The following is a 26736-nucleotide window of genomic DNA, read 5'->3' as shown; positions in this document are numbered from 1 at the left end:
ATCCCTCTGGAAATGGAAGCCTGATCTTGAGAACAAGGGCCTGGCTTTGGAGGTGGTGAAGGGAATCCTTTCCTGAGACCAGCGATTAGGAGGACTGATAGGGGGAAAAGGAGTTTCTGAGGAGAGGGCTAAGGGGGAAGGGAGAGCTCATGCCAGCTGGTCTCGATCTAGAGTTTATCAGCTATGGGGGTGGAGTGGGAGGGAAGTGGAGCTGGCAGGGGTGTTCGAACGCTTCCCCTGGGAGCAGCCCTCCTGTACCTATTGCTCTGGTTCCCACTTCTAGTCTGTCCACTGCACCTACCATGCCTCACCCACCCTATCCACTGGGCTTGGCCTTAGAGAGGGGGAGGCCAGACCTCAGGCCCCTGGCCCCGACCCTCCCCGCTCCCCCATCAGGTTCTCTGTAGCTTCCAGGGGACTTCCCTGGAGTGACGTTGGTGAGCCTAGGACCCAGACCCTGACCAGGCCACGGGCTCCCCTTTTCCGTGTGGAGGGGAGAACAAGGAGAAAAGATCCTGGAGACCCTGGCTGGGGAATTTCCAGGAAGGGACCTCCAAGCACCAACCCGTGGCGTCAACAAGTGATGGACTACAGCGGTAGCGCCGGAAGCACCTGGAGACCTCCCGCCCAGCCAGCGCGTTGGACGGGGGAGGCTGAGGCCCTGCCAGGCCTCACTGCAGGTTTCAGTCAGGAACCAGCACCCACGGGCCTGGGCTGGGTGCTCTTACTTTTTTTCTCTCCCTGTGGCCAGGAACAGCATTCACCTCACACTTGGGAGAGGGCCCGCCACTGCGCTGTGCCTTGCTTGAAGGGGCGGGAGGTGGGGCCATGGCTCGTCTGAGGTTCTTCAATAGGTCCAGGCTCTAAACCCCAGGAGCTTGGTTTATACCTCAGCCTAATGCATGGTTTATAATTATTTATGAGTCTGTCTTCCCCACTGAACTGTGAGCTCCTCCAGGGCAGAGACAAACTCTTACTCATCTTTGGGTCACCTGCCGGCTGAAGGTGGACACTAAATCCATGCTGGGAGGATTGGACAGAGGGAGAGGGGGTGGGAAGGGGAGGCTGCCTCAATAACGGGGCTCCAGGAGTCAGCAGATGCACCTCTTTCTTCCCCTCCCAAGTTCAAAACAAATGGAGAAATAAAATGCAGGAGACAGACAGATGGACACCCCGCCTCCTGTGAGCAGGCGTGTGATGAGAGGCCAGATCTCAGAGGCAGTGGTGACAGACCACACCCCACTGACTCGGCTGGGACCGTGTTGGCCTTGGCACCAGCCTTTGGTCTAGAAGGAACCAGAGACTGACCAGGAGAGCTCCCCCGGTGGCTTCCTGAGCTTTCAGGCCTTCATCGAGCCCCTGTCCTTTCACAACTGGGAAAGCTCTGGACTTCAGCATGTACTGAGCAACCACAGCTGCTCTCAGCCAGGCACTTGGCGTAGCTGAGCCCATATATTCCTCAAGACAACCCTGTAAAGGAGATAGTGTGGGTCCCACTCTACAGAGTCAGCCACTGTGACTCAGAGAAGTTGTGATTGTTCGGCTCCCCCATTAAGTGGCAGAGCCTGTGTTCCTACCAGGGGGTCGACTCAGTCCAGTGGCACAATAGCCCATGGGGTATCAGGATGAGACAAGAGTGCGGAATGGTGACCTCCTGAGACCTGTGTCACACTCAGTGAACAGTGAACCACACTGGGTTCAACCAATGTGGGTTGTTTCTGGTGCTTTGGCCCACTCTCGCCATTGGAGCTGTTTCTGAGTTATCCTAGGACGATGCTCTGGAGTCTTCCCAGCCTTTGTGCCATCATCTCTAGGTAAGAACCCAGCACTTTAGAAGGCCCTCGAGCTCTTCCTAGTGCGGCTCTAGCCTTCCTGTTAGCATCTTCCCCTGCACCACGGCCCCCACCTGCCTTCCTTGGGCATGTCCTTGCCCTCTTTCTCCAGCCAGGAACACTCCACTTACCCCTCTGCACCTGAAATCTTTCTCACCCTTTGCTACCTGGCTCAAGCCAGCCTCGGGGACTCTTCAGCATGTGTCCACTTTGCCTTGATTCAAGGGATTTGGGTGCACTCCAAATCCCTGGTAGGGCACTCCGGGCCCTACAGTCCCAGCTGCTCCTCTGCGGGAGCCCTGTCTCTCCTGACCCGGGGTGCCAGAGGAAAGGTATGCGGCAGCACTGGCCTCAGAGCAGCCTGCACCTGGAGGGCTGCAACCCAGCCTCTGCTCCCCCTACCCTACATGACATTGCCTGCCCAGACGCCGCTTGGCTTGTGAGAGACAATAGACAAGGCTAAGTGGCCTCCAGGACAGCTGAGTGATGCCAGGCAGGCGCCTGACACACCTCCTATACAGGAAAACAGTTTCCTTCCTCTTAATTACAGTCATTAAGGGGCCTGTGCCTGACATACCTCAGCCAGGGACAGGGCTTGGGTCTGTCTGGACGCTCCCATCACCCTTGGCCACCACCCCTAGGCCCAGCCCCAATGCCGGGAGCCACCTGTCTGCCCTCCCATTGCCCTTGACCAACTCAACTCACAGGGAGGGGCTGCCTAGGGAGAGGCAGCTGGTCCCGCAGCCTGGGGGGATTTGATTTGATTTGCACACAAGTATTATCAGGATGTCCGGGATCCACTGGAACCCCTTGCCTTTCAACAAAGTCTTCCCACCCCTGCCCCTCTCCATTGTGCTTCCTGTACACACAGCCCCAGTACCGCAACACAGAGTCCGACTCAAGGACTATCCCGCCACCCAGACACACATGCACACACAGGTCCATGCACACTGCCGTGCCACACGGGCACACAAACATCACAGACAGGACGTGCACACACATACAAGCACAGGTACAGTTCTGCATAGGTACACCTGTATATATTTAGTCAAACCATATGAAATTGCCAATATTCAGTGGTTTCTTATGTACAAAAAAGGAATCTAGTACAAACCTGGGCGTGGGGGGAAGTATACAAAAATACAGAGCCAAATTTGTACACCTGTGCCTTATTTACAACAGCCAAAAGGTGGAAGCAACTCAGGCATCCATCCATGGAGGAATGAGCTAAATGTGCTACACACATGCTACATACATGCAATGGGATGTTATTCAGCCTAAAGTGGAAGGAGATTCCGACATACGCTACAATGTGAAGGAACTTGAAGACATGAAGCTACGTGAAATGAGCCAGTCACAAAAGGACAAAACCGTATGATTCCACTTAAATGAGATACCTAGAGGAGTCAAATTCATAGAGACAGGAAGCAGAATAGTGGGCGCCAGGGGCTGGGGGAGGGGGAAATGGGGAATTCGTGTTTAGTGGGTACAGAGCTCTAGTTTTGCAAAGTGAGAAGAGTTCTAGAGATGGATGGTGGTGAGGGTTACACCACAGTGTGAATGCACTTACGACACTTAAAGCGTACCACTTAAAAATGGTTACAATAGCAGATTTTGGCTTGGTGCAGTGGCTCACACCTGTAATCTCAACACTTTGGGAGGCGGAGGCAAGAGCATCGCTTGAGGCCAGGAGTTTGAGAGTAACCTGGGCAACAGAGCAAGACTCCATCTCTAATTCTTTTTTTTTTTTTTTTGAGATGAAGTCTCGCTCTGTCACCCAGGCTGGAGTGCAGTGGCGTAATCTCAGCTCACCTCAACCTCTGCCTCCCAGGTTCAAGCGATTCTCCTGCCTCAGCCTCCCAAGTAGCTGGGATTATGGGCGCCTGCCACCACAGCCACCTACTTTTTGTATTTTTATTAGAGATGGATGGGGTTTCACCATGTTGGTCAGTCTGGTCTTGAACTCCCAACCTCAGGTGATCCGCCCACCTCGGCCTCCCAAAGGGCTGGGATTATAGGCATGAGCCACAGCGTCTGGCCACGAATTATTTTTTAAAGGCAAATTTTATGCGTATTTTACCACAATTAAAAGATACAGAGCCAAAGATATGTACCTGAAGTAGATGTATACACACTGCAAGATAAACAAAACTAACTCAGTGACACGCAAACATGCCTCCCTCCCTCCCGGGAGCACTTCTACCACCCAGATAAGACCCTGGTTGGTCCTCCCCTTCAAACAAATCTGGAGATAAGGCCCTAATGATGGCCCTGCCACCTCGGCTGCCCCCACAGCTCATCACCCTCCCACGGTCTGGCTTTGTTTACTCAACCTTCTGCCCCTCTTGCAGCCTCCTCACCCCCATGGAAGGGCCTCCTTGGAGTGCCCGGTGCTCCTGCACCTGGGATGGGATGGAGTAGGCCATAACTCCTGACCTGTGGCTCCCCCATGCTCCCCCAGGCCCTTCACTTATAGGGTCCTTGAAGACACAGCCCTAGCCCCATTCACCTTTGGTCCTAGGGCTCAGCTCAACTCCGGAACCTCTAAATCCCACCCAGCTCCCTCCCACTATATGTGTGTCAAGTTCTTTGGACACAGAAGACCCTGTGTTCCGGACATGATCGCAGACCAGATAAACCAAGTGCGCTTAGTGCTAAACAGGCTGCGAGGCACGGCTTTAGGTCTTCTGCGCTTCCCGCCATCCTCGCTGGACCTCATGCCTCCGTGGAAAGGTGGTGACCGCTTCTGCCTAGCCTGGCTCCCCAGCTGCAGCTGTCACCTGCTCACCCCCTTCCCCAGAGCAAAGCTGCTCACCATCCTCCGAAGGACACACGGTACATGCTCCAGGACTTTAATCTTTGTTGGGGCAGAGGTCAGAAATCTACCTGCCCTGTTTGCCTCCTGACCTTGCAGTGTGTCCGCCCATTCTCTGAAACAACCTTCCAACCATTTTCATACTCAGCCCTGGAGGAGGGGAAGAAGGCTGGGGTCTGGCCACCACCAGGCCAAGAACATCCCTGGAGTTAAGGGTGTTGCAAGCACAGCCATCTGGAACAGCATGTCTCAGGGGTGGGCCTTAGCCCACTGCCCACAGTGCACTGGGCACTTGTTTAAAAACTCAGGAATTTGAGGTTACAGTAAGCTATGATCACATCACTGCTCTCTCTAGCCTGGGTGACAGAGCAAGATCATGTCTCAATTAAAAAAGAAAAATGGCCAGGTGTGGCGGCTCACACCTGTAATCCCAGCACTTTGGGAGGCTGAGACAGGAGGATTGCTTGAGGCCAGGAGTTCAAGATCAGCCTGGGCAACATAGTGAGATCCCATCTCTAAAAAAATTTTAAAAGTAGCCGAGCATGGTAACATGCACCTGTAATCCCAGCTACTCAGGAGGCTGAGGTGGGAAGATCGCTCGAGTCCAGAGAAACTGAGGCACAGCTGTAGTGAGCTGTGATTGCGCCACTGCCCTCCAGACTGGGTGACAGAGCAAGACCCTATCTCAAAAAGAAAAAGAAAAAAGACAAGCTCCAGAAGCCTACGGACACCTTCTGGATGAGAATTTCCAGGAGGGTGGGGCCCGGGGATCTGCATTTCATCACCTCTCACCACCCCTGGGGTCAGGGTGAGAGCCACTGCTCTAGGTTCTTGAAGGACAGCTCCGAGCCGGGGTGGGAGAGAGCCAGGGGGCTGTGAGCACCACAGTTAAGATGATGGAGAGTGGCAGGACGATTATGGGAGCAAAAAGAGGGCTGGCTGGGGGACAGACCAGCGTTGATGTCCTTGGATATTCCATGTGACAGTCGTTCAGCTCTCAGGGCCTTGCAGACTTGAGCCAGGGCACGTGCTATCCACTGTGGTATGTGTTGTGGGGGTCATGGCCGGTCTCTACATCGGCGTTTGGGTGAAGAGTTTATGCAAGTGGATGTGATTACAATGTGTGGTCGGTCTGTGTCAGCCCACACTCCATGTCTGTGTATCGGTCAGTTGTCAGTGTGTCCATCTGCATGGGTGTTCATGTCTTTTCCTGGGTGTCTTGAGTCGCTCACCCACCTGCAGTGTGTGTGCGTGTGCGTGTGAGTGTGTGTTCCTGAGTCGCCTGGGCCCCTCTTGGCTGTAATTCAACCTCTGTGGGTCCCGGGAAGTCAGCATTTGGAGACTTGCTGGGAGCCTGGTGGGGATGGGGCGGCGTTGCTGGGAGGAAGAGAGGGAGGCAGGAGTGTGCACCGAGGGCCTGGCACTGCCGCTTCCCTGGGCAGGCGAGTCCCAACACAGGCAGACAGGTGGGGCTGACCTGACAGGTTCCAGAGGCCAGGGGCAATAGGGTGGAGCGTGGCTCTGATTTAGGGTGGCAACAGTTTGGGGGCCCTGCCACACACACAGCGAGCGGGCGGGCAGAAGGCGGTTCTGCTGGTCTCCTCTTCCTGCTGCAGCCAGCCCAGCGTGCGGGCCATGGGCCCTGCCGGCGGGTGAGGCAGCCGCGTGGCAGGCATGTTCGGAGGCCCGGGGCCTGGGGTCCTGGGAGCCCAGGGCATGGCGGGACCCCTGCGGGGCCGGGTGGAAGAGCTGAAGCTGCCGTGGTGGCGGGAGAGCTCACCGCTGGTGCTGCGGCACAGCGAGGCGGCTCGGCTGGCGGCCGACGCCCTCCTGGAGCGGGGTGAGGCTGCCTACCTGCGGGTCATCTCCGAGGAGCGGGAGCTGCCCTTCCTGAGCGCCCTGGATGTGGACTACATGACCAGCCATGTGCGCGGGGGCCCTGAGCTCAGCGAGGCTCAGGGGCAGGAGGCCTCCGGGCCAGACCGCCTCAGCCTGCTCTCTGAAGTCACCTCAGGGACTTACTTCCCCATGGCCTCTGACATAGACCCCCCAGACCTGGACCTGGGCTGGCCCGAGGTGCCACAGGCCACAGGCTTCAGCCCCACCCAGGCTGTGGTCCACTTCCAGAGGGACAAGGCCAAGAACATCAAGGACCTGCTGCGCTTCCTTTTCAGCCAGGCCCACACGGTAAGGGCCTCATCTCTCCATCACTCATCTCACAGAGGAGGAAACTGAGGTCCAGAGAGGGAAGGGACCAGCCCAAGGCCACACAGCGACTTAGGGGCAGAATGAGGACCAGCACCTCTGGCACTATTAGATTGCAAACTCCTAGAAGGGGGACATCCCATATTTACCTTGGCAACTGCTTGGTACCCAGGAATAGTATGGATGAGCATAGAACAGGGCATGGGTGTCAGGGACTCCACAATCCCCTGAAATGCACACGAAGTGGTGCAGGTTGGAGGGAGGAGTCCTCGCTGCATCTTTACCTTGGAAGATGCTCCACTGCCTTAAATCAGATTCTCAAAAAGTTTTATGATCCCCACACTAAGAACTCCAACCTTGGGGAACATCTGAGTCACCTCCTTCACTTATAGAAGAAGAAACTGAGGCCAGAGAGGGGCTTGGGACTTGCCCAGGGAGGTCCATATGGTGACATAGAGCTCAGGGCTTGGGGAGACAGGGGCTCTCTGACTTGGGTCCTGGGGACCAGTCCGGCCCTCCTTGCTGGCTCAGGTCCCTAGTTGCCCCCTACCCTCCTGCACCACATCTGCAGCTGGGCCTGAAGCAGGGGAAGGGGCCAGCGTGTGGGCCTCTTTGGCGTGGCCTTGAGGGCTGGGCTTTGGAACCAAGGAGGAAGGAGGAGAGGAGGCTGCTGGGCTCAGTGATGGGGAGCGGGAGCTCAGGAGAAAGAGAATTGGGAGGGCAGGTAGGGGTGGTCAGCACCCAGAAAGGCTCTGGCCACACACGAGCACAGCTTCCCTTCTGAAGCCCTGGCCTCCGACTCCAGGGGAATGGACGAGATGATCCCTGGCAGGGTTTGAGGGAGAGTTAGGCTCCTGCTGCAGAGATGGGAAGCCAGGATGCTGGGATCCCACCGGTACTTCCAGAGCCTCCCTGGCAAGCCTTCCTGTGCCCCAGGCAGGGGACGGCCAGGCCTGATTGGCATCAGGAATGGGGTTATTAGTGAGGCTGCTGCTGTCGTCCTCCTCACCCCTGCCTCTTTGATCTTCCTGCCTGTCCTTGTTCCCCCACCCTGGCCAGGCCTGTGCTGTGAACTAGGGCATCCCCCAGTGCCTCGCCTTCTCAGCCCCCATTTAGACCCCTCTATCCTGGGTCAGGAGCCAGGTTCGTGCACTGGGCTGTCATGACTCCTAGTGACCTTGGGAAATGCTGCGTTGCCCTGCAGCCCAATGTTTATAGAGCTCTGTTATGTCTTGAGCATTTTCACATTTAATTCCCTGTAACTCTGAGACATGGCTATCATTATCTCCATTTAACAGATGAGGAAGGTGAGGCTTCCAGAGGTGAAGGGACTCACCCAAAGCTGTGTCACCAGGAAGTGATAGAGTCCAGGTTTGAACCCAGTTCTTTCTGACTCCAGAGCTGGAGTGCTATGCTCTGTACCTCCTGCCTCTCGGCCCTGCCTGGGAGAGAAGACTCTCATAGCAGATATATGCCATGGGAAGAAAGGCCAGCTGGGGGCTGGGAGGTGCCAAGAAGGTTTCAGGGGCCTCTTTGAGGCAGCCCTTTATATGGGATGGAGGCACAAGCCCCAGCCCAGCCCTCAACTGAGCAGAAAACTTGGATCCATTTGGCATGGGTGCAAGTAAGGGAGTCTGCAGTGTAAGGGGTCACACCAGACCTCTGTGGCTTCACAGGGAAACTGAGGCAGGACTGGGAAAGGGCAGCGAAGACCCCAGTAAGTGGCTTGTAGCTGTGACCCTGGAGAAGGGAGCCTCAGACAGACAGTCCCTGGGTCAGAGCTGGGCTGGAGTTAGTCGGGGGAGTGCCAGGAACTTGCCTGGGAATTGGGGTCTGGGTTCTCCTTCTCACTGCTGTCCCATCTGGGGCTCAGTGCAGAGGGAGTGTTGGACTAGCACAGCTGATCCACAGTCATCTTTGAGAATCTGATGATGGATAAACACTCGGTGCACAGAAGGATGCACACAAATGCTTTCAAACAGCTAGGGGTTCAAGACAGTCAAATCTGGGCTGGGATTTGACTGTAATCCCAGTGCTTTGGGAGGCTGAGGTGGGAGGATCGCTTGAGGCCAGGGGTTCAAGACCAGCTTGTGAGAACCCCATCTCTACAAAAAATTAGAATTAAAAAAAAACTAGCGACTGGGCGTGGTGGCTCACGCCTGTAATCACAGCACTTTGGGAGTCCAAGGCAGGCAGATCACAAGGTCAGGAGTTTGAGACCAGCCTGGCCAACATGGTGAAACTCCATCTCTATTAAAAATACAGATTAGCTGGGCATGGTGGTGGATGCCTGAAATTCCAGCTACTTGAGAGGCTGAGACACGAGAATCGCTTGAACCCAGAAGGCAGAGGTTGCAGTGAGCCGAGATCACGCCACTACACTCCAGCCTGGGCAACAGAGTGAGACTCTGTCTCAAAAAAAAAAAAGAAAAGAAAATTAGCCAGGCATAGTGGCACATGCCTATAATACCAGCTACTTGGGAGGCTGAGTTGGGAGGAGATTGCTTGAGCCTGGGAGTTCTAGGCAGAAGAGAGCTATGATCACGCCACTGCACTGCAGCCTGGGCAACAGAGTGAGACAGACACTGACTCTTAAAAAAAAGAAGACAGTCAAATCTGCCTGTGCCCAAGTTAAGAAGCCCTGGGCTAGGTCACTGCTAAGTGCCCTTCCTGTTCACTTGCTCTTGAAGGCTCTGGCCTCCTGATTTTCAGTCCAGTACTCTTTTCCCGGCGCCCAGTTTCCTGCCCCAGGTTTGGCTGGATGTGGGGAGTGCCCTGGGCAGCGCTGAGCTTTCGTGTGCCTCCCCCCACCCAGGTGGTGGCTGTGGTGATGGACATATTCACTGACATGGAGCTTCTGTGTGACCTCATGGAGGCCTCAAGCCGGCGTGGTGTCCCTGTGTACCTGCTCCTTGCCCAGGAGCACCTGAGGCACTTCCTGGAGATGTGCTACAAGATGGACCTCAATGGGGAGCACCTGCCGGTCAGTGAGGACCAGGGGCAGTAACCAGGGGTGTGGGCGGGGAGTCAGGGAGGGCAGGGGAGCCAGTGGGTGGCCAGTCAGCACTGGGGGGCACTGGGAGTGGGGGGTGGGTTCCCTTAGCTGTCTGGGGTTAGAGACCCCATGGGGCAGAGACATGGCTTGAGCCTCACTCTCTCAAGGTCACCCCCAACCTACTTCCACCTAGAACATGCGTGTGCGGAGCACGTGTGGGGACACATACTGCAGCAAGGCTGGCCGCCGCTTCACGGGGCAGGCCCTGGAGAAGTTCGTCCTCATTGACTGTGAGCAAGTGGTGGCGGGCAGTTACAGGTGAGCAGGCACGAGGAGGCAAGGGGGGCCTGGGGCTGCATCACTGGCTGGCAGCTCTGAGCTTCCCTCCACTCATCCTTTCCTTCGGACACGGGCTGAGTACCTGCCATGTGCCAGGCATCATGCCAGGCTCAGGGGAGGGTGTCGGGGGCATCGGCCCTGGAGGAGCTCACTCTAGGGGAATGATTACTTTAATACCCTTGGTATAGAAAATGACTATGCCCATTGGAACTGGAGTGACTTCAGGGAACCTCCCCCAAGTCCATTTGACAGATGGGGAAGTTGGGGCCTCCATGAGGTCACACACTAAGCAGGGCTAGGGCAAGCACAGACTCTGGAGTTGGAGCTCTGCCCCTCGCTGTGAGCCCTCGTGGTGGTGGGGTTTGGGTCTAGCGTGCTGGACCAGGTATGCACCCCTGGCTGTGACTCCTGCCGACCCCCAGGATCCTGCACTTTGCCTCCTGACCCCCCTGTCCCTCTGCCCCCAGCTTCACCTGGCTTTGCAGCCAGGCCCACACTAGCATGGTGCTGCAGCTGAGGGGCCGCATCGTGGAAGACTTTGACCGGGAGTTCCGCTGTCTGTACGCTGAGTCGCAGCCTGTGGAGGGCTTCTGTGGCGGTGAGGACCCGCTGTCTCCCCGGGCACTGCGTCCTCCCCCTGTGGCCCTAGCCTTCAGGCCTGATGTCCCAAGCCCCACGTCGTCCCTGCCCTCCAGCACCAGCCTCAGCAGCATCAAGCAGTCACCGCTTATGGGTCGCTCCTCCTACCTCGCTCTACCAGGAGGTGGTGATTGCAGTGATACGGGTGTGGTGTCCTCGTCCCTGGGTCCTGCCCGCCGTGAGGCCAGTGGCCAGCCCTCCCTACATCGCCAACTGTCAGACCCTAACCACGGCTCCCCTCCTGGGCTCTATAGGGCCAATCTCGGCAAGCTAGGGGCATACCCATGGTCCCAGTCCTCCCCTGCCCTCAACCATAATAGTACCAGCCCCTTAACCTTGGCAGTGGGGTCACCTCTGCTTCCTCGCTCCCGGCCCCTCCTCCAGTTCCATCGGGGTGCCCCAGCTCTGTCCCGGTTCCCAGAGAATGGGCTCCCAGGAAGCCAAGAGCCCAGCCCCCTGCGGGGTCGATGGGTACCTGGCACAACCCTGGAGACAGTGGAGGAGAAGGAGAAGAAGGCATCTCCAAGTCAGAGCCGTGGCCAGCTGGATCTCCTTGTCCCCTTCCCCAGAGCCCGAGAAGTGGGAGACCCTGACTCTGGGGTTACCCCCAACTCAGGCCCCCTTCGGCCTGGCGAGCAGGCCCCAGAGGACAGGAGGTTGTCCCCAAGCCAGGCCGACAGCCAGCTGGATCTCCTGTCCCGAGCCCTGGGTACTGGGGGTGCCCCTGAGTTGGGTTCCCTCAGACCTGGTGATCGGGCCCTGGAGGACAGGAGGCTGTCCCTAAACCAAAGCCGTGGCCAATCAGACCTCCTGATGCAGTACCCCAAGGCCCAGGGTTCCAGAGTGCCCCTTGAAACCAACTCCTCAGCCAGACCTGCCAGACGGGCACCAGATGAGCGGCGGCAGACCCTGGGGCACAGCCAGCTGGACCTCATCACAAAGTTCGGCCCATTCCGTGGTGAGGGGCCTGGGCCCAATGGTCTCCCGATATCAAGCCCTGCTCGCACGGCTGGAGCTGGGTCTGGGGATGAGAAACGGCTAACCCTGGGCCACAGCAAGCTGGACCTCATCACCAAGTATCATCAGTTGCACGGGGCCAGGCAGGGAACTGAGCCTGGGGGTCCCAAGGGTGGCCATCTCAATGGTGGTAACAGTGACCTGGTCAGGGATGAGAAACGGCTGACCCTGGGTCACAGCAAACTGGACCTCATCACTAAGTACAACAAGTCCAAGTTCAAGCAGCTCCGAAGCCGCTTTGAGTCCTAGCCAAAGGACTGGCATCGGGGGTGCACTGGCAAGGGCAGGCCCCTCCTCTGTCCACCGAGACTCTGGACTTGCTCAGGTCCCAGACTGGGGAAGGGAGGTGTCTAGAAACCCAGGTCAGACACACTCTCTGGGCTCAAGATTCTTGTGTACACACACACACACACACACACACACACACACCCTAACTAGTATCTTCTTGAATCTAGGCTGTGTTTCCAGCCCTGTGCTGGGCCTGTAGAGCTGACAGGTGGGTCACACTCAGACCTGGGGACAGAGGTGAAATGCACAAGCTGCTGGAGAAGGGGTCAGAGCCATATCAAGTTAAAGGTTAACCAGTTACAGAGGGTGTTAGAAAACAAAGGGCAGAGAGTCCTGGAGAAGGTGGAGTAGTCAGAAAACTTTCTTAGAGGAGATGGAGGTGGCCTTTGAGCCAGGCCCTGAAGGATGGGGAGGTTTTGGACAGAGGGAGGAGAGAGTTAGAAAAATTTTTGGTAGAGAGAATCAGGTGAAAGAGATGCCCTAAAGAGGACTGAGTGGGTCTGAGGTGAATGAGTGAGGAAGAGCAGAGTATGTGGATACCCGGAAACACACACACACACACATCATCATTATCATCATCATCATTGTCGTCGTCATCATCTTGCTGAGTCATCATCATCATCATCATCATTGTCGTCGTCATCATCTTGCTGAGTGTCTCTTGAAGTACAGGCTGTGACAGGTTGTGGGCCATTTTCCTGAACTCACCACTTACCCGGGATAGTAAACATGATACACATCAATAAAGGCAGACTTTATTGTGAATCACAGCGCCTGGTGTATCCTGAACTTTGAGGAGTTATGGGAGGGACACGTTGGGGGAATGGGAAGGGCACCATTCAGGCCAATTATGGGGAAACCCCTGGAGGAGGGTGAATGCCGAAGGAGGAATTGGGGGAGTCCAGGGGCTCCAAGTTACCACTGTGACATTTTGAGAGAACCCGGGGCTTTTGCAGATTCTACAAAATGTGGGCCAAGTTCATCCTGTCCAAGTGTGCAGCAGGGCCCTTGGCCCCCATCACTATCCTGGGGACAGAAGTTGGCTGCTGAGTGAGTGATAGAGGCCGTGCGAGAGGCACATCGTGGAAGCCAACCAGCACCCACATCCTTGCCCACCCTGGACCCCTTTCCAGCCTTTTCCTGAGCCCCTGCTTCCTCAGTCCTCCCCTCTCTCCAGCACCTGCAGCCTGGCTGCCTTTCCGTCTCTGGCTGCGCTCTTTCTCCAGCCTCGGTCTGGCCGCACTTCTGCCTCCTGGAACTCTCTCCATGGGTAGCCTCTTCTAGTCCACCCGTCTTCAGCCCCTCATCTCATTCGTCAGCACTCCACTCCCCTGCTGGGCTCCAGACATGGACTTCTGTCCCTCAAGGCACAGCTGGACTCATCCCTTTCCCCAAACCTGCCCTTCCTCCGGCTTCATTTCCATCAATACCTCCATCATCAACCCTTCCGCGAGACACTCCTGGCCCCTCCTCTCCCTCATGCCTCACAACCGACCAGCCGGAGGTCTAGGTCGATGACAGCTCCTAAAAAGCTCCTGAATGAATAATGAATGAATGAACGCGAGCAGGCTAGGCGTGGGGCCAGGCGGGGTCGCGCCCAGACCGCTCGCGACCATAGAGTCCGCCGGAGGCCGGAGGTAGAGGGGCTGGATGCGTGGCGGGGAGCGCCGGGCTCTCCCGGAAGTCTCCCTGGACGGAAGTGGAAACGGAAACCTTTTTAGGGAGTCCAAGGTACAGTCGCCGCGTGCGGAGCTTGTTACTGGTTACTTGGTAAGCTGGTGTGAGGGGAACCTGGGAGGGTCAGCTCCGGTCCTGGGTCGGGAGGGGTGGGGGCCAGAGGATTCAGGGCCGGAGGTTCTGGTGGGGGCCCAGTGGGCGGGACCCGAGGACGGAGGGGCCGGGAGGCCGAGAGGGGCGGGGTCGCGGCGGGGCCTGAGGGACGGAGGCCGGGATACTTGGGAAAGGATCCGCCGGCCTTGAACTCCCGCCTCCGCCGCCCCTAGGCCTCATGGCGGTCCGAGCTTCGTTCGAGAACAACTGTGAGATCGGCTGCTTTGCCAAGCTCACCAACACCTACTGTCTGGTAGCGATCGGAGGCTCAGAGAACTTCTACAGGTGCGGCGGGAGCCCCGGGGCTTACGGTGGCGGGGAGGCGTGCGCAGGAGTCAAGAGCTCCGGCAGTGGGAGGGTGCCGGCCCCTCTGCCCCGCCACCACCGAGTCCATGTCCCTACAGTGTGTTCGAGGGCGAGCTCTCCGATACCATCCCCGTGGTGCACGCGTCTATCGCCGGCTGCCGCATCATCGGGCGCATGTGTGTGGGTAAGGCAGGTGGAGGACGCCGAGGGAGGGAGTGGTCTCCAAGCACCATTAATTACACCCCCGGAGGGAACCCGGAGTGACCTAGGGATTCCCAGGGTATCATCTGTTATCTCTGGGCACTATAGAATCTCTCAGGCCAAGCGTCAGGAGATCGGGGCAACCCTCTAGCAAAGGCTGCTGGATAATAGTAATAACAAATAATGTAAAGTGCTTTCACTCCTGTTCTCATTCCTTCGTCACAAAGACACTAGAAGGTAGGAGTTACTGGCCTAACTTGACTGATGAGGAAGTTGAGACTTGACCTAAGTGACTCAGTAAGTTCCACACCTAGTTCCTAGTGTTGGAGAAGGATTTTTCTCTTTTTTTTTTTTTTTTGAGGCCAGATTTTTGCTCTTTCGCCCAGGCTGGAGTGCAGTGGCAAGATCACAGCTGTCTGCATCCTCAACTTCTTAGGCTCAAGTGATCCTCCCACCTCAGCCTACCAGGTAGCTAGGGCCACAGGCACGTGCCACCACACCTGGCTAATTTTTACATTTTTGGTAGAGACGCGGCCTCCCTGTGTTGCCCAGCCTGGCCTTGATCTCCTGGGCTCAAGTGATCTTCTTACCTTGGTCTCTTAAAGTGTTGGGATTATAGGCGAGAGCCACTATACCCAGCCGAGGATTTGTATCTCATCTCTCCCTGCCACTGACTGGGCAAGGTGCTTTCTCTTTCTAAGCATCCATTTCTGTCTCTGTAAAGATTAGCTAAGATATGCGGTCTTCCTGCTCAGTTACGTTGGAATCTTAAATTCCCTTTACCACATCTCTACCCTACCTTCCTACCTGTCAGCACTGTTAATTCTGGTCGTTGGTCCTTTCCTTTTTATTATTATTATTATTTTTTTTTGAGATGGAGTTTTCGCTCTTGTTGCCCAGGCTGGAGTGCAATGGCACGATCTTGGCTCACTGCAACACTCTCTTCAAGTGATTCTCCTGCCTCAGCCTCCCAAGTAGCTGGGATTACAGGCGCATCCCGCCACACCCGGCTAATTTTTTTGTATTTTTAGTAGAGATGGAGTTTCACCATGTTGGCCAGGCTGGTCTTGAACTCCTGACCTCAGGTGATCCTCCCACCTCGGCCTCCCAAAGTGCTGGGATTACAGGCGTGAGCCACTGCGCCCGGCCGGTCCTTTCATTAAGCTGGATCTGTCTTCCATTACTGCTGCCCATTGTTTCTTAGTTCTGCTCATTGAGGTCACTTTTAGAAGTCTGTTTATTTTATTTTTTTACTTTTACTTTAATTTTTAAAAATCTTAAGCCTGCTTGGGAGGTCGAGGCAGGTGGATCACCTGAGGTCAGCAGTTCGAGACTAACCTGACCAACATGGAGAAACCCCGTCTCTACTAAAAATACAGAAATTAGCCGGGTGTGGTGGCGCATACCTATAATCCCAGCTACTTGGGAGGCTGAGGCGGGAGAATTGCTTGAACCCTGGAGGTGGAGCTCACCCTGCGGTGAGCTGAGATTGTGCCATTGCATTTCAGCCTGGGCAATAAGAGTGAAACTGTGTCTCAAAAAAAAACAAAAAACAAAAAACAACAACAACAAAAACTTAAGCCTAGTGACCTCAAAGTATTTTCCTATTCAGTTAAAATACTCTGATCTCTAACCATGCCCTTAGGACTTGAAGCAAGTTCTGACAACAAGGGAGATTTTAGCTTAGTCCTTGTGTATTTTATGATGGGAGTGACCTGGAATTCAGAAATTGATTGGCGTGTATTTGTAGATTGTTCATTCTTGTTGCTGTATGGTGTGTTTTGTGTAAGTATATCACAACGTATTCATCCATTCCATCGACAGTGCATTTGGGCAGTTTTCACTTTGGTCTGTTAGGAATAGTGCTGCTGGCCGGGCATGGTGGCTCACGCCTGTAATCCCAGCACTCTGGGAGGCCGAGGCGGGCGGATCACGAGGTCGGGAGATCGAGACCATCCTGGTTAACACGGTGAAACCCCGTGTCTACTAAAAATACAAAAAAATTAGCCAGGTGTGGTGGCGGGTGCCTGTAGTCCCAGCTACTTGGGAGGTTGAGGCAGGAGAATGGTGTGAACCGGGGAGGTAGAACTTGCAGTGAGCCGAGATTGTGCCACTGCACTCCAGCCTGGGCAACAGAACAAGACTCCGTCTCAAAAAAAAAAAAAAAAGTAATAGTGCTGCTATGTTTTTTTAGTGAACACATGTACATATTTCTACTGGGTATATGATACCTAAGAGTGGCATGGCAGAGTCACAGGTTATGTGACTATTTAGTAGTAGTTGCAGATGATGCCAGATAATTATCTAAAGTGATTGACCAACTTACACTCCTGTCTCAGTATGAGAGTTCAGTTGCTCCATATATCTTTGCCAACACTTGGAATTGATGACTTGTAAAAATTTTAGTCATTCTGGCTGGGGGCAGTGGCTCACACCTGTAATCGTAGCACTTTGGGAGGTCGAGGTGGGCGGATCACCTGAGGTTAGGAGTTCGAGACCAGCCTGGCCAACATAGTGAGACCCCATCTCTACAAAATCACAAAAAGTTAGCCAGGTGTGGTGGCACGCACTTGTAATTCCAGCTACTCAGGAGGCCGAAGCAGGAGAATCACCTGAACCCAGGATGCAGAAGTTGCAGTGAGCTGAGATCGCACCACTGCGCTCCAGCCTGGGTGACAGAGTGAGACTCTGCCTTAAAAAATAATAATCTAGCCATTCTGCTATGTGTGTAGTGTTAGCTCAGTTTTTTTTGTTTTTTTGTTTTTTTTTTTTGGAGACGGAGTTTCGCTCTGTCACCCAGGTTGGAGTGCAGTGGCGCGATCTCGGCTCACTGCAAGCTCCGCCTCCCGGGTTCACGCCATTCTCCTGCCTCAGCCTCCCGAGTAGCTGGGACTACAGGCGCCCGCCACCACGCCTGGCTAATTTTTTGTATTTTTAGTAGAGACGGGGTTTCACCGTGTTAGCCAGGATGATCTCGATCTCGATCTCCTGACCTTGTGATCTGCCCACCTCAGCCTCCCAAAGTGCTGGGATTACAGGCGTGAGCCAACACGCCCGGCAGCTCAGTTTTTAAGTAGCAAAATATACAGCTAATGCCAAGAGCTCAGCTTCCCTCCCAGTTGGTGATGGTGAAGTAGGCAGGATTTATTGGGATTCCTGGGTGGTCTCTGGCCTGCCCTGGGTGTTTTCCAGATCAGTGGGTTGGAGGGCTGGGCTCTGGGCCTAAAGCTTTCCTGGGAAAGCTGATTGGGCTGGGCTGAGTGGTATCCTCAGCCCCTAGGGCTCAGCAGGCATCTTGTGTATTCACCCTCTAATTTGGGTTTCTCCAGGGAACAGGCACGGTCTCCTGGTACCCAACAATACCACCGACCAGGAGCTGCAACACATTCGCAACAGCCTCCCAGACACAGTGCAGATTAGGCGGGTGGAGGAGCGGCTCTCAGCCTTGGGCAATGTCACCACCTGCAATGACTACGTGGCCTTGGTCCACCCAGACTTGGACAGGGTGAGGCAGCCCAACTTGACCCAAGAGTCACAGGGCCATCCTAGTCAGTGGTTAGCCACTGTTCTTTCCCAACAGGCAGCAATTAGGGGTCTCTCCTGTGGTTTTTCTATATGGGCTCTTGAGTTTCAGGTACTCATTGGAATAGTGATAACAGAGGCCTTATCAAGTGTCAGAAAGAAGCTGGGGAGGGTATGAATCCTTCATGATTGGGGAGATTGAACCATCCAGTCCTGCATCCTGGGCCAGGATAGGTGATTGACTGTTGAACTTTTGACTGTGGGTGAGAGGGGAAAGAAGTGATATTGAGACCAGCCTCCAGCTGTTCAGGGCATGCATGAATATTAGGGGCTTCACAGCTGCCCTTGACTCTGCTCTAAGCTGTACTTCCTCCTTTCTCTGGGTGAGGCTTTCATATGAGGTACAGAGGAGAAATGAGGGGCTCAGGGAGCCAAGGCCTGGATGCTTCTGGGCATGGAGAACCTTGGTTCTGGGGCTGTAAGTTCTGAGCCCTGAACACAATATCTTTGATTGACAGGAGACAGAAGAAATTCTGGCAGATGTGCTCAAGGTGGAAGTCTTCAGACAGACAGTGGCCGACCAGGTGCTAGTAGGAAGCTACTGTGTCTTCAGCAATCAGGGAGGGCTGGTGCATCCCAAGACTTCAATTGAAGACCAGGATGAGCTGTCCTCTCTTCTTCAAGTCCCCCTTGTGGTAAGCATTCCTGTCCTCTGAACCCCGTCTCCCGAGGCAGATCCTTTTGCCTAGTGTTTGGGAGTCTGGGTCATTACCTGCCACAGTTTGGGACTGGGGCTGCAGGTCAGGGAGGAGCAGGGTTTGGGGAGAGTCTTCATTGAGGAGGGAGAGAATTTGGTGCCGTGACTCACATTGAGCCCATCCCTTGGCAGGCGGGGACTGTGAACCGAGGCAGTGAGGTGATTGCTGCTGGGATGGTGGTGAATGACTGGTGTGCCTTCTGTGGCCTGGACACAACCAGCACAGAGCTGTCAGTGGTGGAGAGTGTCTTCAAGCTGAATGAAGCCCAGCCTAGCACCATTGCCACCAGCATGCGGGATTCCCTCATTGACAGGTACCTGGGGCCTCTCCTTTCTTCTGCTCAGGGTTGGGGGTTAACTTGCATTTTGAGAGTATGGGGAAAAGATGTCATCTAGAATGGGAGCCTACCAGTTTGTTCTGGTAGCTTCTCGAGTGTGAGAGCATATCTGTACACTGCTGAGCAGATAAGAGCCAGCATATTCAAAAAATATTTCTTGAGCATCTGCTAATCCTCATCTTTGTGGTTTTTCAGGGCTAGGATACTAGAGCAGTAGCTGCTTGAGCAGCTTGTCAGAGCTGGTCCCGGGATGAGGGCTGAGGCAGGCACCTCACTTGAGAGTGAGGTGGGCTCTGTGAAACAGCTACTGACCGTGCGCTTTCCTTTCTCTTCAGCCTCACCTGAGTCACCTTCCAAGTTGTTCCATGGGCTCCTGGCTCTGGACTGTGGCCAACCTTCTCCACATTCCGCCCAATCTGTACCGGATGCTGGCAGGGAGGTGGCAGAGAGCTCACTGGGACTGAGGGGCTGGGCACCCAACCCTTTTCCACCTGTGCTTATCGCCTGGATCTATCATTACTGCAAAAACCTGCTCTGTTGTGCTGGCTGGCAGGCCCTGTGGCTGCTGGCTGAGGGTTCTGCTGTCCTGTGCCACCCCATTAAAGTGCAGTTCCCTCCGGGCCATTCTGAATGTGATGTTTGGGGCCCTCAGCCTGTGTACAATCCCTGCACTCTCCAGTTGTTCCAGCATTCTGGGAAGATAGGGTGGGATGAACACAACACACACCCAACCCAGTTCACCACCTCCACACACGCCATTCCCTTCTCCTCTACCATCAGGATGTGAGGCTTCATCCTGGGGCAAGAAACACTCTCCACTACAGTTCTCCTTTTTTCTTTTTTCTTTTTGAGGCAGTGTCTCCCTCTGTCACCCAGGCTGGAGTGTTGTGACGCAAGGATGGCTCACTGTAGCCTTGACCTGTTGGGCTCAAGCGATCCTCTCGCCTCGTTTATTTTTTTGTAGAAACGAAGTCACTGTGTTGCCCAGGCTGGTTTATACTCCTGAACTCAAGCGACCCACCGCCTCGGCCTCCCAAAGTGTTGGGATTACAGGCGTGAGCCACGGCGCCCGGTCTAGTTCTCACAGTTTTCACCCGACTTCTGCGCCGGTCTTCTCTGGCCTTGAAAGGCAGAGAGTCCGTTCCGATTTTCCCCTGAGCTGGGCAAGTCCCCTGTGAGAGCTCTGGGGCATCTGGCTTCGGGGCATTCTTTGACTAAGGTGGATGGAGGTTGCAGGTCTTTTCCTGGGTGGGCGTGGGGCGGGGCAGCGGGTTCCCAGCGTCCTCCTGGCCTGGGCGTCTTGGAGGCTGTTGGGGTGCATTCCGTCCCCTTGCGCGGGGCGGGGCCTTGAGGCGCTGGGGCGGGATTGGCGGGGGACGGTCGCGGAGCCCCGCCCCGAAGCACAGGGTCGAGTCCCTTCTTTCCGCTCCAACGCACGGAGGGTGAGGTCGGTACGCGGTGGTGGCGTCACGGCGCCAGCTCCTCCCGACGCCGAGGTGGGTTCCGGGAGACCCGCGGGTCTGGCTGCGAGAGGTGAGGGCAGAGCCGGGGCGGGGCCCTAGCGGGGTGTCCCGGCGACCCAGACCTTAAAGGGCTTCTCTTCTTGCAGACCATGGGGGCTCAGCTAAGCGGCGGCCGCGGCGCCCCGGAGCCTGCGCAAACCCAGCCCCAGCCCCAGCCCCAGCCTGCGGCGCCGGAGGGCCCGGAACAGCCCCGGCATCCGCCCCAGCCCCAGCCCCAGCCCCAGCCCCAGCCCCAGCCCGAGCCCAGCCCGTGGGGGCCGCTGGACGACGTGCGCTTCCTCATCGCCTGCACTTCCTGGTACTGACGGCGTCCTCCGCAGGATGTCGCCCGTCTGTCCGCCGTCCCCTGTGGTTCTTGCCTGCCTTGTCTCCTCTCCCCACGTCCCTGCGTCTCTTACACCCCCTCCCACCCGAGGCTCCCCAGAGATAGCAGAGAATTCGAAGAGGTCGCCGGGGACTGGAAAGAAGTCCCGGCAGGGCCGCCTTCGCAGTCTACACCCCAGCCTGCTTCCCAGCCTACACCCAGACCCAGCTCAGACCTTCGTGACCACCCCATCCCTTTCTCCGGCTGGCTGGGTCGGGGGCATCCCTCTCTGTCGCTGGCTTCCAGAGGCAGGACAGGCCTCCTGGTAAGCCCGCAAAGTTGCTGACCTCCTGACTTCGTCTGCCTTTTATTAATATCTGTATTGCTGATAACCGTGCTCTTGACTATGTGTCCCAGGTCATGTCCCAGGTCATGGAGAAGCCCGTGCCACAGTGACCCTCCCCATACTCCTGGGGGGGCTGCTCTCCATCCTGGATCGTAAGGAGGCATCATCAGGCTGTGTTCCTGGAACCCCAATAACCCTGGGCCCCCAGGGCCAGCCTGTTGTAGAGGGAGGCTATCTGACCGCCGGTCTGGCAGAGGAGATGGGTGGGCAGCTCCCAGACACCCCAAAGGACCCGGTTCTCTTCCCAGAGCGTCCTAAGGTTACTCTTGGAACCTGATCTTTGTTCCCTCATCCCAGGGAAATGACACACTCTGTATTTCTGTTTTATTTAGAAATGATTTAAAAAACATTATACAAAGGCTGATCAGTTTAAAATGTGACTGACACTGAAATGCTGTGATGTCCCCCAGGCTGAGGGGAAGCTAGGCTCTGGGGCCCCCAGTGCTTTGCCCCTCTGTCTGCCCTGTCCTGGGGTGATGGACAAACAGATGACCACAGGCAGGAGAATCTGAGATTGGAAGCCTCTAGGCTGAGCCCTCTGGGCCTGGCCCCACATCCCTCACCTCTGCAGCCTGGGCTGCCTGCCTCCATCTCCTGTTCATTCTCAGCTGGCCTGCCAGGAGCCAATGGGGAGCCTGGCGGGAGGCGGGGGTGCCTAGAGCTTTCAAGAAGTGAGAGCACCAACCTGAGGAGTGGACAGGGACCAGGAAGTGGGGGAAGGGAGGCCAGGAAGAGGTGGATACAGGAGACACTTCTCATCTCATCTCAGACCCTAGAGGGGTCCACAGATGGGGACACAAGACCCAGCCAGCCCACTGGATGGCCCGGGCAAGTAACAACCTCTCTGTGCTTCATCTGAGGGCACGGTGAGAGTTACCGTCGGCCTCCCAGGGCCTAACACGAGTTTCATGTGAGTGGACAGGTGTGAGCTAATAAAGTGCTTTGCAAAGTATAAAACACTGTACAAACCTATGAATCACTAATATCTCCGCAGTTGTTCCCTGCCTGTCCCAGGGAGCCTGCCCTTGGCCAAAATGAGAAAAAACAAGGATGATGACAGGGGACACAGCGGACCCACATGGGCACCTCTGGGACAAGAGATTTTGCTTGAGACAGCTCCCAGGGCAGCAGGAGTCCCTGTCTGTGCTACAGGGTAAGCCGACCCCAATCCCAGAGACCACAGGGTCGGGGGCAAGGCCCATGCAGGCTCAGTGAGCAGGGGTGGCATCCGAGACCCGGCCAGCACGCTGGAGACTGCCTGACACCTTTTTGGCTTTGGCAGAGAGCCAGTGGGCATTGATGAACCCATTGGCCTTGTCTAGGGCTCCTCAGTGACAAGCAGGGCTGCCTCCGCCGTACTGTGGAGCAAGGCAGGCCAAGCCCTAGGAACTCCTGCTGGAGACAGTGAAGGGCGGGCCAGTGAAGGTCAAAAAGGGAGCCCCCTCAGCTTGGGGCTGCTACCGGTAGGGGTGTCCTTCTAAGAGCAGTGTGGGAAGATGGGCCCAGTGAGCGAGGTCAGCAAGGGCCAAGCTCTGGGAAAACACTGCTTCCAGCCGAGAGATTGAGTCGGCCTCAGAGTAGCTGGAGTCGGCCTCAGAGTAGTGGGGGCACTGAGCACTTCAGACGCCCTGGTCCCCTTCCGAAGGACTCCCAGGCTCTGCCAGTGTTGGCCCTGCAGCCATCTCTGCCTCACCTAACTGGTGAGGCTGAGCTCCAGGCTGCAAGTGACAGACTGGAGCAAAGCTGGGGACAGTGACAATAGAGGGGAGTGGAGGACGGTCACAAACTCGGATCTTCCTCCAGAAATGGGGTCAGCTTCTGCCCCAGCTCTGTAGCCATAGGAGCAGAGCTCAGCTACTGGGGTGTCTGGGCGCTAGAGTGGCCTTAGCAGCACCTTGGTCCTTGTCGCCTGGGGGAGGGCCGCTATGCTGGCCTCATCACCAAGACAGTCACCTCTAGTTCACCTAAAGCCTCAAGCAGCCTTTGCAAAATGGGACAGTAGTGACAGGACATTTAAATATTCACGATGTGACAGCTGGGTCCTTGTCAGACCCAGCTGGGCCACAGCCCTGCCTGCAGCATGTGACCCTAAATCCTGGGTCTCCGAAGAGACCCTGACAAGTGGAGCAGGTTTCCTGAGGGATCTGCCGTCTGCCAGCAGGGAAACCCAGGCTTGTTGCTCACTGTGTCAGAAGCAGGGGTCCTGTAGCCTTGGAGGACAGTGGGGTGGGGGTAGGGGGACATCTGACCAGCAGGTGTTGGCAAAAGGGGACCAGGACTGGTGGTATCTCCCGGATGGGGGATGAGAGCTAGTGCTGGCTTCCCACAGAGGGTGCTGGGTTCCAGCCAGGAGTGGAGCTGTGGTACCTCATGGACACCACAGGATGCCGTGACCACAGGGGCTCCTCCTGGCATGGTCCCTGCCTCCGGATGGAGCCTGGCCTATTCCCTTAAGTAGGGAGTAGTTTGCCCAGGACAGAAGGCTGGCAGCTGGGTGCCAGACACCCACCCTGGGGCACAGCCCCCATAATTCCCTGCCCCACGCTCAGCCTAGGCCAATGCACCCACCACTTCAGCTGTACGACCCCAGCCTAGGGCCCTGCTGGCCCTGGTGAGCACTGGCCAGAGCTGCCCCTCAGACCCTGGTGAGGAAGGGCCTGGCTGGCCAGACCAAGTGGATAGAGAGGGCTCTGGGCTGCTCACACCCATTCCTGGACTGGCCGCTTATAGTAGGTGACAGGCTGAGGGCCTGTCTTGTTCTTGAACTGGAAGATGGTGTAGACCAGCACCAGGATGCAGAGGGACAGGATGCAGGGGATGACCACGGCCACGGCGTTCACGGAGCCCGGCACATCGTTGATGGTCACCATGATGTCCACGTCGTCCTGGGGCAGCCGCCGCTCCTTCCGCCGCTCCACCTCCTTCTGGTTGCAGCCCATCCAGTCACGCAGGATGTTGCGCGGGTAGCCTGGCTCCACGCTCAGTTTCTGGTTGTCAAACTTCCAGTAGTCCCGGCCCTTGTAGAAATAGGTGTAATCTGCAGAAATACAGCCCAGCATCACCACTCCCAGACACTTCCGGCACCTGCTCTGGGGCAGTGTGAAAAGGAGGGCACAGGCACTGTGGCAAGGGAGGCAAGGTGGGCACACCTGGAGGTTTGGGGTGCAGTGCTTGGCTGAGTCATGGAGTAAGAAGCTGCAGAGGGGGGCACCCGGGACCTGGAGTGGTCCGCCTGTCATCCTACGGGTGCTAGGAAACCAGAGGGGCTTCAGGGAGAACTGGGACATGGTTCACTTTGTGCTGCCCAGACAGGACCCCTTGCACGCAAGCCTGGGTCACAGCTCTGTCACACTGTGCGCACAGGTCCCCCTTGCCCCGCTCATGTGGGCTCCATTAAGCCTCAGCCTGGCTCCTGCTTGAGCCAAGGGAGGCAGGGAGCAAGATTTCACCTTGTGTTGACAGCAAGACCTCTCTGCAATTATGGATTTTTTTGGCTTGGCACACATCACTTCACAACACAGATGCAGGACCTTTGGGAGCCTTCTGGGAGAGAGGCTGGGCAGCCCTGCCAATCACTCCCTGGGCAACCACCCCAGGGCTCGAGCAACAGCCTGAGCGGCCCAGCCAGTGGGCAAAGCAGCTTGCTTAGGCCGTCCTCATTGGCTGGCTTCCCACCGTGGCTAGGGCTTTCATTGGTCTCGGTCCTTGATGTCACCTGTCTCTGAGGCTCCCCAAAAAGGGAGATCTTGTGCGTAAAGCATCAGGTATACAAGACAGCCAACAAATAGCAGCTGTGGCCATTGGCTTTCTCAGCAGTGAAGCCTCCTCAGAGACTCCTTCCCAGCCATCTCTAACACGGCCCCCTCTAGCTCGTTGCTCTCTCCCAGCATTTATTTCCTTTTTTTTTTTTTTTAAGACAAGGTCTCACTCCATTGCCTAGGCTGGAGTACAGTGGTGCAGTTGTAACTCACTGCAGCCTCAAACTCCTGGTCTTAAGCAATCCTCTGGCCTCAGCCTCCCAAGTAGCTGGGACTACAGGCACATGTCACCACGCCCAGCTAATTTTTGTATTTTTTTTTTGTAGAGATGAATCTCACTATGTTACTCAGGCTGGTCTCGAACTCCTGGCCTCAAGTGATCCTCCCACCTCAGCCTCCCAAAGTGCTGGGAGTCTTTCCCTTATAGCGTCTGTTGCCATCTTGCTTTATGCCCCTAGACTTGGACGTCTGCAAGTCCTGTTGACTGCTACGTCCCCAGCTCCCACCACACAAGCTGTCTATTATTATGGAGTGAGTGAATGAATCCTGTCAATCCACATAAACTGAAACCCATGATGATGACAATGATGATGACGATAGCAGCTAAAATATACAGCATGGATGGTGTGCTAGGCATTATTTCTAAGTATGCTACATAATTTGTCTTCTTTAATCCTCACAAAACCATTATATAAAGGTAGGTACTGTTATTATCATTTTATAAATGAGAAAACAGAAAACTTATTAAAGATTTGCTCAGATTCATAGTGAGTGGTACTATGGTGGTTACGAACCCAGCCAGTCCAGCTCTAGAGTCTGTGTTTTTGACCATATCAATGGAGATCTATTTAACAAACACTCCTGGAGGCCCACTCTGCATCTGGCCAGGCTAGCAGCTCCTCCTGAGAAGCTCCTAGGCTGGTGGGGAGACAGGCTGAGTGTCTGATGGCAGTCGTGGGGGCTGGTGGCCAGCATGGCTTCTAGGAGGAGTTCAGGAAACATAAAAAGTTTCTCTCTTGATGCAGTGGCTCACACTTGTAATCCCAGGGCTTTGGGAGGCTGAGGTGGGAGGATTGCTTGAGGCCAGGAGTTTGAGACCAGCCTGGCCAACATAGTGAAACCCTGTTGCTACAAAAAAATGTAAATTAGCCAGGCACAGTGGCATGTGCCTATAATCCCAACTACTCGGGAGGCTGATGAGGCAGGAGGATCATTTGAGACTAGGAGGTTGAGGCTGCAGTGAGCTATGATCATGCCACAGCATTCCAGCCTAGGCGACAGAGTGAGACCTTATCTCTTAGAATTTAAAAAAAAATTTTTTTTGAAGGTTTTCTTTCCATCTTCTTGCCCTCGAGCCCTGTGAAAAAGTGGCTTTGAAACATGCATGCCCATCATTGCTTTTCAGATTGGGTAACTCAAGGCGTCCCTGGAGTACACTGAGGATAAGTGTTTGAGAAATGCTGTCTGAAGGAATGAAGTCAGTCTATGACAACGTCTCTCTGCCGTGAATCATTCCTGCAGATGAAAAAGTGTGACTTGGCAGCTGGTAAGTGAATTAATGGACCACGTGAACATGGGTAGATATGAGGCAGTTGTCTGCCACCAGGTGTTTTTTCAAACCTGGACGCCCATGGGCACTGAGTATGCCCGTGGGCACTGGT

At 55.6% G+C, this 26736-nt stretch overlaps 5 protein-coding genes and 1 long non-coding RNA gene across 19 annotated transcripts in view, besides 9 other annotated features; 4 read left to right on the top strand and 2 right to left on the bottom strand.

Moving 5' to 3' along the window:
• FAM83C (family with sequence similarity 83 member C) lies at nucleotides 6201-12895 on the top strand. Of its 2 annotated transcripts, none has more exons than NM_178468.6 (4): nucleotides 6201-6834; nucleotides 9668-9835; nucleotides 10041-10165; nucleotides 10654-12895. In NM_178468.6, exons 1-4 carry the CDS (start codon nucleotides 6322-6324, stop codon nucleotides 12089-12091), a joined length of 2244 nt encoding a protein of 747 aa, NP_848563.1. In that variant the 5' UTR covers nucleotides 6201-6321; the 3' UTR covers nucleotides 12092-12895. The 2 variants fall into 2 exon arrangements, with proteins under 2 accessions (NP_848563.1, XP_047295848.1); XM_047439892.1 differs by lacking the exon at nucleotides 6201-6834 and adding an exon at nucleotides 7988-8223.
• FAM83C-AS1 (FAM83C antisense RNA 1) lies at nucleotides 12854-13375 on the bottom strand. The gene is made up of 2 exons (NR_109815.1): nucleotides 13311-13375; nucleotides 12854-13156 (listed from the first exon to the last, which is right to left on the bottom strand). It is a non-coding gene; the product is annotated as an FAM83C antisense RNA 1 (long non-coding RNA).
• Nucleotides 13292-13842: an enhancer, noted in NCBI's record as "H3K27ac-H3K4me1 hESC enhancer chr20:33872587-33873137 (GRCh37/hg19 assembly coordinates)". NCBI's record gives its function as "activates a minimal SCP1, AML or CMV promoter by ChIP-STARR-seq in naive H9 embryonic stem cells {active_cell/tissue: H9 hESC(naive)}" and the evidence as "EXISTENCE:reporter gene assay evidence [ECO:0000049][PMID:30033119]".
• EIF6 (eukaryotic translation initiation factor 6) lies at nucleotides 13854-19720 on the top strand. 7 transcript variants are annotated; one of them, NR_052023.2, is made up of 7 exons: nucleotides 13854-13900; nucleotides 14134-14245; nucleotides 14365-14450; nucleotides 17804-17972; nucleotides 18508-18684; nucleotides 18879-19060; nucleotides 19420-19708. NR_052023.2 is itself a non-coding variant. In NM_002212.4 (7 exons), the coding sequence occupies exons 2-7, from the start codon at nucleotides 14139-14141 to the stop codon at nucleotides 19427-19429; spliced, it is 738 nt and encodes a 245-aa protein (NP_002203.1). In that variant the 5' UTR covers nucleotides 13854-13900; nucleotides 14134-14138; the 3' UTR covers nucleotides 19430-19708. The 7 variants fall into 7 exon arrangements, 4 of the variants coding, with proteins under 4 accessions (NP_002203.1, NP_852131.1, NP_001254739.1 ...); NM_002212.4 differs by having other exon boundaries at nucleotides 17797-17972; NM_001267810.1 differs by lacking the exon at nucleotides 13854-13900 and adding an exon at nucleotides 13909-13929 and having other exon boundaries at nucleotides 17797-17972; nucleotides 19420-19720.
• Nucleotides 13935-14124: a silencer, noted in NCBI's record as "silent region_12856". NCBI's record gives its function as "represses an Ori minimal core promoter by ATAC-STARR-seq in GM12878 lymphoblastoid cells {active_cell/tissue: GM12878}" and the evidence as "EXISTENCE:reporter gene assay evidence [ECO:0000049][PMID:35858748]".
• Nucleotides 20325-20544: a silencer, noted in NCBI's record as "silent region_12855". NCBI's record gives its function as "represses an Ori minimal core promoter by ATAC-STARR-seq in GM12878 lymphoblastoid cells {active_cell/tissue: GM12878}" and the evidence as "EXISTENCE:reporter gene assay evidence [ECO:0000049][PMID:35858748]".
• MMP24OS (MMP24 opposite strand) lies at nucleotides 20504-22274 on the top strand. 4 transcript variants are annotated; one of them, NR_149147.2, is made up of 3 exons: nucleotides 20504-20580; nucleotides 20694-21236; nucleotides 21329-22274. NR_149147.2 is itself a non-coding variant. In NM_001355004.2 (2 exons), the coding sequence occupies exon 2, from the start codon at nucleotides 20697-20699 to the stop codon at nucleotides 20910-20912; it is 216 nt and encodes a 71-aa protein (NP_001341933.1). In that variant the 5' UTR covers nucleotides 20504-20580; nucleotides 20694-20696; the 3' UTR covers nucleotides 20913-22274. The 4 variants fall into 4 exon arrangements, 2 of the variants coding, with proteins under 2 accessions (NP_001341933.1, NP_001341932.1); NR_149148.2 differs by having other exon boundaries at nucleotides 20504-20617; NM_001355004.2 differs by having other exon boundaries at nucleotides 20694-22274.
• MMP24-AS1-EDEM2 (MMP24-AS1-EDEM2 readthrough) overlaps nucleotides 20504-26736 on the top strand; it is a 162759-nt gene continuing 156526 nt past the window's right edge. The window contains exons 1-2 of the mRNA NM_001355008.2: nucleotides 20504-20580; nucleotides 26481-26621. The gene's annotated coding sequence lies outside the window, so the exon portion shown is untranslated. The remainder of the gene's footprint in view (nucleotides 20581-26480; nucleotides 26622-26736) is intronic.
• Nucleotides 20635-20854: a silencer, noted in NCBI's record as "silent region_12854". NCBI's record gives its function as "represses an Ori minimal core promoter by ATAC-STARR-seq in GM12878 lymphoblastoid cells {active_cell/tissue: GM12878}" and the evidence as "EXISTENCE:reporter gene assay evidence [ECO:0000049][PMID:35858748]".
• Nucleotides 20985-21154: an enhancer, noted in NCBI's record as "active region_17778". NCBI's record gives its function as "activates an Ori minimal core promoter by ATAC-STARR-seq in GM12878 lymphoblastoid cells {active_cell/tissue: GM12878}" and the evidence as "EXISTENCE:reporter gene assay evidence [ECO:0000049][PMID:35858748]".
• Nucleotides 21275-21374: an enhancer, noted in NCBI's record as "active region_17777". NCBI's record gives its function as "activates an Ori minimal core promoter by ATAC-STARR-seq in GM12878 lymphoblastoid cells {active_cell/tissue: GM12878}" and the evidence as "EXISTENCE:reporter gene assay evidence [ECO:0000049][PMID:35858748]".
• Nucleotides 21628-26736, bottom strand: part of MMP24 (matrix metallopeptidase 24) — a 50309-nt gene continuing 45200 nt past the window's right edge. For all 4 annotated transcript variants that reach the window (NM_006690.4, XM_011528500.3, XM_017027597.2 and 1 more), the window contains one exon: nucleotides 21628-24354. In NM_006690.4, coding sequence (NP_006681.1) covers nucleotides 24017-24354 — 338 coding nt within the window. In that variant the 3' untranslated portion in view covers nucleotides 21628-24016. The remainder of the gene's footprint in view (nucleotides 24355-26736) is intronic.
• Nucleotides 21961-22568: an enhancer, noted in NCBI's record as "H3K4me1 hESC enhancer chr20:33863861-33864468 (GRCh37/hg19 assembly coordinates)". NCBI's record gives its function as "activates a minimal SCP1, AML or CMV promoter by ChIP-STARR-seq in primed H9 embryonic stem cells {active_cell/tissue: H9 hESC(primed)}" and the evidence as "EXISTENCE:reporter gene assay evidence [ECO:0000049][PMID:30033119]".
• Nucleotides 22569-23176: an enhancer, noted in NCBI's record as "H3K27ac-H3K4me1 hESC enhancer chr20:33863253-33863860 (GRCh37/hg19 assembly coordinates)". NCBI's record gives its function as "activates a minimal SCP1, AML or CMV promoter by ChIP-STARR-seq in primed H9 embryonic stem cells {active_cell/tissue: H9 hESC(primed)}" and the evidence as "EXISTENCE:reporter gene assay evidence [ECO:0000049][PMID:30033119]".
• Nucleotides 24858-24927: an enhancer, noted in NCBI's record as "active region_17776". NCBI's record gives its function as "activates an Ori minimal core promoter by ATAC-STARR-seq in GM12878 lymphoblastoid cells {active_cell/tissue: GM12878}" and the evidence as "EXISTENCE:reporter gene assay evidence [ECO:0000049][PMID:35858748]".

Source organism: Homo sapiens, chromosome 20, assembly GCF_000001405.40.
Source record: "Homo sapiens chromosome 20, GRCh38.p14 Primary Assembly".
NCBI lineage: Eukaryota > Metazoa > Chordata > Mammalia > Primates > Hominidae > Homo > Homo sapiens.
The sequence above is the reverse complement of the archived record's forward strand: the minus strand, read 5'-3'. Positions and strand labels throughout refer to the sequence as shown.

What these genes read in the sequence shown, in the direction of transcription:
- MMP24OS (NM_001355004.2), top strand. Translation starts at nt 20,697, where the DNA reads ATGGGGGCTCAGCTAAGCGGCGGCCGCGGCGCCCCGGAGCCTGCGCAA.
- EIF6 (NM_001267810.1), top strand. Translation starts at nt 14,139, where the DNA reads ATGGCGGTCCGAGCTTCGTTCGAGAACAACTGTGAGATCGGCTGCTTT. An exon ending in GGCTCAGAGAACTTCTACAG is followed by an intron (nt 14,246 to 14,364) that starts GTGCGGCGGGAG and finishes ATGTCCCTACAG; the next exon opens with TGTGTTCGAGGGCGAGCTCT. An exon ending in TTCTTCAAGTCCCCCTTGTG is followed by an intron (nt 18,685 to 18,878) that starts GTAAGCATTCCT and finishes ATCCCTTGGCAG; the next exon opens with GCGGGGACTGTGAACCGAGG.
- FAM83C (NM_178468.6), top strand. Translation starts at nt 6,322, where the DNA reads ATGTTCGGAGGCCCGGGGCCTGGGGTCCTGGGAGCCCAGGGCATGGCG. An exon ending in TTTTCAGCCAGGCCCACACG is followed by an intron (nt 6,835 to 9,667) that starts GTAAGGGCCTCA and finishes CCCCCCACCCAG; the next exon opens with GTGGTGGCTGTGGTGATGGA. An exon ending in TCAATGGGGAGCACCTGCCG is followed by an intron (nt 9,836 to 10,040) that starts GTCAGTGAGGAC and finishes ACTTCCACCTAG; the next exon opens with AACATGCGTGTGCGGAGCAC.